The sequence below is a fragment of the Homo sapiens genome, chromosome 11, assembly GCF_000001405.40.
Source record: "Homo sapiens chromosome 11, GRCh38.p14 Primary Assembly".
In the NCBI taxonomy this organism is placed as follows: Eukaryota; Metazoa; Chordata; class Mammalia; order Primates; family Hominidae; genus Homo; species Homo sapiens.
The window spans coordinates 41,939,124-41,948,463 of NC_000011.10; the positions used below are offsets into that span (position 1 = coordinate 41,939,124).

General features: G+C 39.0%; 1 annotated feature.

Annotated features, from left to right (window-relative positions):
* Nucleotides 8,508–9,008: an enhancer, noted in NCBI's record as "H3K4me1 hESC enhancer chr11:41969181-41969681 (GRCh37/hg19 assembly coordinates)". NCBI's record gives its function as "activates a minimal SCP1, AML or CMV promoter by ChIP-STARR-seq in primed H9 embryonic stem cells {active_cell/tissue: H9 hESC(primed)}" and the evidence as "EXISTENCE:reporter gene assay evidence [ECO:0000049][PMID:30033119]".

Below are 9,340 nucleotides of genomic sequence, written 5' to 3' on the forward strand. Positions count from 1 at the left end.
ATCATGTAAAACAAAGCTTTCATGGCAAAATCCATTGGAAAAGCATAATGTGTGAGTTTTAGGGTCCCTGCCTATCTTTAGATAGATAGATAGACAGATAGATACAGATACACACACGCACACACACACACACACACACATATATATATAGAGAGAAAGACAGAGAGAGAGATTTCAGAAGTTATTAAAATAATCATATAATCATAGATGGTTGGACATGGACAATACCTGTTTATCTAGCCTTCAACATTGTTAAACTACAGGTGAGAAAAACAAAGTCTAGCAATATTAAGTGATTTAACCAGAGAGAGTAACCTATGAATAAAAAGTGAGGTTAGAAACAGGACCTTAAAATTGAAGCATCCTATTGCTCTTTTGAAATGCCCCTCCATTATAATATATTAAATTATCAGACCAAGATAGTTCAGTATAATCCATATTCCAAGAGACTGTTGGAAGCATCTACTAGAAACCCACTAGGTTTCATTAAACACAAATGGCAAGGAAATTTTAGAGACGTTATAGACAATATGCTGCTCCCATACTGCCTCCTTTCTTACTGATTCCTGAGCCCAGAATGTAAAAGCAGGCTGGATGTTCTTATACAGATGCCTTCTTTCTGAAGACCATCATTTTGCCTGGTACAGGAGCTCTTAGTGAGACATTAGGAAAGACATACCTGATTTTTAAGATCACGTAGGACCGTGTACTTATTATTAGCTTACCATCACTTTAGAAACCTGTTCAGTGTGACCAATGCTTACATTTATGCAAACAGAGAGAGAGAGAGAGAGACAGCATGTGTGTGTTGGAGAGAGAGACAGAGCAGGGAGAGAAAAAGAGACAGAGAATGAAAAGACAAAGAGAAAAATCCAAGCCCAGGAGAACTTGTACTGAAAAATCTGAGAATTTTCACCCTGATGATCATAACTGCCATATCACCTTAACCTCTTTTGTTGATAATTGATAAGTAATAATATTAATAATTTAGCACTGACATAAACACATTATATGTACTATTTCTTTTAATTTCTAAAACACTTTTGAAATTTTTAGTTATGCATGTATTTAATTATTGTGAATATTTGGTTTTATAAATATTGTTAAGGTGGCCAGACAATATGGTACATGAGATGAAAAATGTTTCCCTTTTATTTCCACCAATGGTATCCTCAACATATTTCACAGAAACTGGCCAAACAATAAATATTGGTGTTTAATAAATACTTATGAAATAAATTTAATAATCTCTCCTATAAAGTAGATATTGTGATTATTTCTATTTTGGGGATGAAGGAATGGAATCTTAAAGAGTGTCTTAATCTTTTATACTTCAAGTCTTTATGATAACACTTTTCTCTGAGTTCTTCCTGTTCTGAATGTCTACATAGTAAATGAAATTAATGCTCACAGTTATTGCTTAGTGGAGACATCATTGCTTTCTTTCTACGGAATTTTACTTAGAAAGAGAGAGCTTTTCATGTTCCAAAACATCTTTACAATGAGAACTACGGAATGTTGTTCAAAGAAATCAGAGATTACACAAAGAAATGGAAAAACATTGCATGTTCATTAAGAGAAACAATCAGTATTGCTAAAATGACCATACTGGCCAAAGCAATTTATAGATTCAATGCTATTCCTATCAAACTACCAATGACATTCTTCATAGAACTAGAAAACAACTATTTTAAAAATCATATGGAACAAAAAAGGAGCCCAAATCTCCAAGGCAGTCATAAGAAAAAAGAACAATACCTGACTTCAAACTATACTACAAGGCTGCAGTAACCAAAACAGCATGGTACTGGTACAAAAACAGACACATAGACCAATGGAACAAAATAGAGAGCCCAGAAATAAGGCCACACACCTACAACCATCTGATATTTGACAAAGCTGACAAAAACAAGCAATGGGAAAAGGATTCCCTATTCAATAAATGGTACTGGGATAACTGGCTAGTCATATGCAGAAGATTAAAACTAGACCCCTTCTTTATACCATATACAAAAATCAACTCTAGAAAAATTAAAGCCTTAAATATAAAACCTAACACTAAAAATCCTAGAAGATAATCTAGGCAATACCCTTAAACTATAAAGAATTTCTGCATAGCAAGAGAAACAATCAACAGAGTAAATATACAACCTACAGAATGGTAGAAAACATTTACAAACTATGCATCTGACAAAGGTCTAATATTCAGACTCTGTAAGGAACTTAAATTTTCAAGCAAAAAAACAACCCCATTAAAAAGTGGGCAAAGGACATAAACAGAAACTTTTTAAAAGAAACATAATGTGCAGCCAACAAGCATGTGAAAAAAAGCTCAACAGCATTGATTGAGAGTAATGCAAATGAAAACCACAATGGGATACCATCTCTCACCAATCAGAATGGCTATTGCTATTATTAAAAAGTTAAAAAAAAAAGACAGATGCTGGTTGAGGTTGTAGAGACAAGGGAACACTTATACACTGTTGGTGGGAGGATAAATTAATTCAACCATCATGGAAAGCAGTGTGGCGATTCCTCAAAGACTGAAAAACAGAACTACCATTTGAACCAGCAATCCCACTACTGGGTATACACCCAGAGGAATATATATCATTCTATTATAAAGACATGCACACTTAACGTTAATTGCAGCACTATTCACAATTGCAAAAACATGGAAACAACCCAAATGACCATCAATGGTAGACAGGATAAAGAAAATGGGGTACGTATACACCATGTATTACTATGCGGTCATAAAAAGAATGAGATCATGTCTTTTGCAGGAACATGCATGAAGCTAGAAACCATTATCTTTGGCAAGCTATAATAATGCGCGAATACAAAACCAAGTACCACATGTTCTCACTTATAAGTGGGAGCTAAATGATGAGAACACATGGACACATGGAGGGGAACAACAGACACTGGGGGTCCATCTGAGAGTGAAGGGTCGGCGGGGGGAGAGAGATGATCAGGAAAAATAACTATGCTACTAGGATTAACACCTGGGTGACAAAGTAATCTGGACAACAAAACTCTGTGACACACGTTTACCTATGTAACAATCCTGCACATGTACCCCAGAACTTAAAATGAAAAATTTAAAAGCGAGACACCCACTATGCCATTTCTATGCCTCTTTACTCTCTACAATATCCATGTCACTCTTGAATGCATGGAATTCTTTTAAAGGGTGATATTTTCCCACCAAATAAATGCTCCAAGTGGCCATTTCCGCTCTGGGTTCCAATGCCACTCAGTTCCACTCCCACTCCCATGACACCATCCTAAAACAGTGACACTCTTTTTGCCTTTCTCATATCAGGGAGTAATTTCATTCTCCCCACTTGTGTCTAAAACATTTTGTCTATATCCTGAATCCTCTCCTCTCTCTGCTACTTGGCTTTTAAAAATCAAATGCGGCCGGGCACGGTGGCTCACGCCTGTAATCCCAGCACTTTGGGAGGCCGAGATGGGCGGATCACGAGGTCAGGAGATCGAGACCATCCTGGCTGACATGGTGAAACCCCATCTCTACTAAAAATACAAAAAAATTAGCCGGCGTGGTGGCGGGCGCCTGTAGTCCCAGCTACTCCGGAGGCTGAGGCAGGAGAATGGCATGAACATGGGAGGTGGAGCTTGCAGTGAGCCAAGATCGCACCACTCCTGCCTGGGCAACAGAGTGAGACTCCATCTCAAAAAAAAAAAAAATCAAATGCAAATTGTTATGCTTTCAAGCACTGCAGCCACCTTGACTGAGGAAAAAACTACAGGAGGTAGTCTCCGCTGGAATAGAGGTTAAGGAAAGAGAAATTCAGGAAGAGAAAAACAAACAAACATGAGTTGCTATCTCAAAACATTATGCTATTGTCATTGTCATTATCATTATACTCATCCTCCTCATTACAATTGTTAATACTGACTTGATCACTGGAGTCCCTGTTAACACAATTCCAGAATCCTCAGTCCAGAGCAGGTATTTTAGAAATACTACCAATTCGTTACAGCACAAATTGCACGATTTTGGAACTCAGATGTGAGATCAAGTCCCTACCCCAATACTCACTATTCTTGAATACTTATCCTTGGGTATCTAAGCTATGTGTGAGTTTCTTCATCTGTAAAATGGGGTTTATCAGTTTTGTGATAGAAAGAAAATCATACATGTAAAGCACTTAACACAATATTAATGATTATTTAATAAAGGTTGAATAGCTTTTTGTTAGAAAGGAAAAAATTGCTCCCATTTTCCTGCAATCTTCTAATTTCTAAGAGTTCCCTCTGCAGGAAGGCTCTGGTTCCCGAAGCTGGAATGTCTTCTTCATCTGGTTATTTGTTGTTCATACTTCTTTAAAGCAGCTGCAGACAATGCCCTATTGCCTTATGTAGAATAATCTGCCTCTTGCTGGAAACCTTGGTTAGTATATGACACACACTCCAGGGTCAGTAATTAATTATAAAAACAGCAAAACTCAGGAAACCCACTGGCAAGAGGTGCCCCAGCAAAACGGTAATTTGTACGCCACTGCTGGGGAAATGCGGACAGTAAGCCCAACAGACACTTCCTTTCCCTTTGGCTTAGAGCACTTGGCATTCACTTATGAGGCCGTTGGGTTCAATTAGACCTCTGCCTAACAAGCTGTCAGTCACCATCAAGGCACCTCCCAGAGACATGTCAGAGCAGCCTCCTTCTGTCACTTCAATCTTGTTCTGGAAACCTGTGAGCAGGATTTCAAGGAGTTGACTTGGTGCATATTGCATAACCCTCTGCTTTCCTCCCTTTCTTCCCACCACTGTTTTTCCAGAGGCTTCTGCCATTGCAGGCTGGGCATGCAGGAGAGCTAAGCGGTGCCAGGATTACCAGTCCTGGGGGAGTGCCCATCTAGGTGAACCTTGACAGGGACAATGTTCTGGTAGGATGCAGCAGCAGCCTGATCAGAGTAAGCAGCCCCAGGCCATGGCTTTCCTAAGGATTTGTATTAACCCAGCAACTATGAAAAAAAGGAGTGGGCACTAATTGTGAAGAGCAAATAAAAGTCCTGACAAGTGTTTCATGGGCAATAGCCTAGCTGCTAAGAGATTGCCTGTACTCTCACCACTATTTAAAGCAGCTGCACTTACTTTTTTTCTCATCAGACACACCTGACAGATGACATTTGCATGTATGGCACTCATTTGCAATTTCCCGAATTAGCTCAAACACCACTTCTTCTCCAACCACTCAAGAAAATGTATCTGAATGTAAATGAGGGAAAGAGAGGTTATTATAGAGATAACCTTGAATCTGCTTTCTTTAAAACAATGCAGGATATTCACAAACTTTCCCATTCTGGTTATTAGCTGTAACAAATTATTTGGATCTACCTCACAGTAGATCAAGGCATACTATTGTGTCATGATGTGGTAGCTGAGAACTTGGTTGGGTTTTTAATGTTGCAAGGCAAGTAAACAGGTTCTTCTTCTTTATCTCCAATTCGGTATACTGCTGCCGAGTGAGGATCATGCAGTGGGAATCATGCTGGGGATGCCTATGCCCCCAAGCTTATCAGACACCACCATAACTCTGTGATAGGCAGAACTATTCTTCTATGGAAGTACCTATTCATTTGGACCCAAATACCTAATTTTGTATCCGATTTATTTAATTCCTTGTCTTTAAACAAATTGTTTACCTTGAACTTACGACACTCAGTTTTCTCATCTGGAGAAGAGAGATATGCTTAGTTCAGACTTGGTATGGATATTAAGTCATAATTGCTAACTATATGCCAGGCACTAGATTAAGAATTCTATGTGAATTATCTTACTGTTGTCTATATGTCTGTTTTCTTTATACAGATGAGGTAATGGAGGCTTAAAGGCTTTATAAAAATGTGTGTGAGCCTGGATCCAAACCCATGCAACCTTACCCTAGAGTGATATGCTGAGTGAATTTACTATACTATCTCTATTTGTTTCAGTGAACAGTTGTTGGTTAGTCGCTAAAATTTAGCAGTAGTTTGTACTAATGGTAAGAGGATTTCAAGAAATAATTGAGCAAAAAAACTGGAGGTACTTCTTATAAAATCATGCATAAATGCACATAAATTATTATTGCATTTTATGTACTAATTAAGGAATTATAGAATTTCAGTATTGGAAAAATCTTTGGGAAACTTGTATTTCGGTGATTTAAAACTGGCACGTCAGTAAGGTTCACTTTTAGCTTTTAAAGAATGCTAAATTTTTAGAGTATTGTCTACCAAAATTGAACGCATTAAGTGGAACTCACTTATCTAATTTTTAAAAATTATTTGTGTATATATATATATATTTATATACATTCATATAGTAACTCATAATGTCTAAGTTTTAACTAAGTACATATAAGTGTCTTTCAAGCTGATCAATAGGAGACCAAGGTTTTCTTTAATTCTTTTTCTTTAAGTCTCAACTTAAACAAATTGTTTCAAAAAGGTTTTGTCTGACTTTTAAGCTAGGTTTGTCCTCCTGTTATGCTGTATTTTATTTATTTTAACTCTTATCACCCATGACTCTTCTTTTTTTATCTATTTGTACTCAGTGTTAGATGCAAGTGCCTTAAGAGTGGGGCTGTGTATAAATTGTATTCCAAGGAATCTATGTAATCCAATGGCATTTGTAAAAGCCAAAAGGACTTCCTTTTGGGAACATCTGTCCATTTCCTCCTTCTTTCTCACTTCATTTAAAAATATAGTAACAATAAGTTCTCCAAGATCAAGATGGAATAAACAAAGGCATCATTGTACCTTCCATGGTTTGAAGACGTTATTCTCACCACCAAATTATTGTATATCCCACTCTTCTAAACTTGGATTTATCCAAGACTAGTTCAAACATCATCTCGTTTCTTACTCTCCCAGACAGACTTAGAATCTCTTCCTGGTCTCCACAACTCTTTAATGCCTCTTTCAAACCTAGTCCTGAGGGCTGCGGAAGTCATCATGCTTTTTGAACCATAGCAAACAGAGAGGGATGGATCACCTCTGTCTTTCTTTTTTATTTTTATTTTTTCCAATCTGCTTTCCCAGTCCATCAGTAACTCTTTTTGGAGGGCAAATGGGAGTTGCAATGTGGAATGCTGTGTAGAACTGGAGTTACGGCTTTTGAGAAGAGGAACTGAGAATCTATGTTTAACTTCTCTCTGTCTTCAATCTCAACTAAAAAGGTAGACATTGCTGCTACAACATAAGGTCTTACAGCCTCAGAAATACTAAGGTGGCTCAAAATCACTGCATTCAGCTATCTTTTCTGGTAAGCTTATATGGAAAAACTCTTTCAGGAAAGGGGAAGAGAACTAGAAAAGCACTATAGCTATACATATACTTTTGATCATAGAATGACTCACACACTCTTCAGGAATGGACTTCCTGACTGAAGGTGCAAAGCCAGGCGAAAGGTGCATGCAGTGGAAAGGGACAATTGAACTCTTGGGAAACATAGTATGTCATGGATTAAGCCCTTATTCTATGACAGATATGTGGATCGATAATACTTACACATGTCACAGTTCAGGGAAGTAGGAATTGTTGTTTCTTCTTTGACAGATGAGAAAATAATAACAACAATGATAGCAACAAAACAGTGAACATGTACTGAGCACTTTTTGAGACTCTTTTCTAACTGGGTCCTATGTATTAAGTTTCCATACATGGACTAATTTACTTACCACAGTAACTAGTGAGATAGGTGCTATTGTTGCCTGAATTTTATAAATGAGGAAACCACAAGGTTAAACTACAAAGTCACACAATTGGTAAGAAGAACTGGAATTTGAACTCAATACTCCACTTGTAGAATCCATGTTTGGGAAACTGAGCCTCAGAGATGTTGTACAATATGCACAAAATTATCTTTCTTGTCTTGATTTCTGGGTCCAGAGTCTAGATATGTTTAACTATAGTCTTATTCATTTTGTTATTGGTGTTTGTTTTGTTGAGGAGACACTCGTCATCCTAGTGAAACAGAAAAGGTTCCCTTGTCCCCCTCACAGGGCATGTGATGGGGTGTCGCTCGCTTCTTCAGCACCCTGCTGCTCAAATCTCTAGGGGAGCATACAGACAGGCAAGGCTGTGGGGCTTCGATGCCATGGCAGTGTCTAGGGGTGCATGTTTACAACTGACGTCCCAGTGGGCAGGTGTTACAGGGTGCTCTTTTAGTTTGCCGTCTATAGGCAGCTTGTGTTAACCAGCTCAATTAGACACCCTTCCTTATTAGGAGGACAGAGGGATTTCTGTATTCCAGGGTTTCTTGCCTTGGTGTACCAGAAGAATCAGATCACACGTGGGCTTGGAGAATGAGTGCAAGGTTTTATTGAGTGGAAGTAGCTCTCAACAGATGAGGCAGCCAGAAGGGAGATGGTTTTCCCCTGGAGTCCGGCCACCCAGCGGCCATTCCTCTTCAACTGCTCTGCCAAACTCTGCGTCGTTCAGCCAGCTGATGGCCTGCTGGCCTGCGGGTGCCTGTCGGCATGCTCTTCAGTTAATGTGTTCCTCATGACGTCCAGCCGCTTCTGTGTATGCCTGCTAGGGTCTCGGGTTTCTAAAGGCACAACATGGGGGCGTGGCAGGCCAGGGTGGTCTTGGAAAATGTAACATTTGGGCGGTAAGGCAGGAGTGCCTGTCCTCACCTAGGTCCATGGGGGTGCAGACCTAGCCCGGGACCAGACCCTCTCTACCCAGCATTCCCCTGTCCCCGCTTCTGTATCATTTAAAGGGACCACGCTCTTTCCTTCCCAGCACTCCCGTATCGCTAGCTATTATTCGAAGAAAACATGTGCGGCCAGAAAGAGAAATGAAATTAAACAGTTTTAATTTATATTATTTAAGAGCAAAATTGGCCTGAACTGCCAGGATAACAAACTGAAGTTCACATTTTCCTTAGAACCCTCTATAACCTTAATTATGCGTTTCCTCTCACTCTTTGATCAAAGGCCATAATCAGGAACAAGCTAAAATGTAGTTGTCCCATGCTTCCCAGAGTTCTGTCTCAGCACACTCAAAGCCTCCATTTCTTCTGCGTTCAAGGAACCCACGTTAAATAAAGTTTATTTTACATGCTGCCCATTCTCATTGCCTGCTGTTCCCAAGTAAGTTTCTTATGATAGAAATAAGCCCACTGGATTAACAGGAGAGCAGCTTCAGGGACCCTGACATTTCATCAAGGAATGACAATTTTTCGGTTTTGCTTTTGGAGTGCTATTTTCCCATAGACAAAAATAAACAGAAGAAAGAGGTGCTTTCCTGAAAGATGCCAGATGAGCACTTTCATTTCCAGCCCTTTGTTTAGACAAGACAAATCCGATTCAGCTTACTTTTGT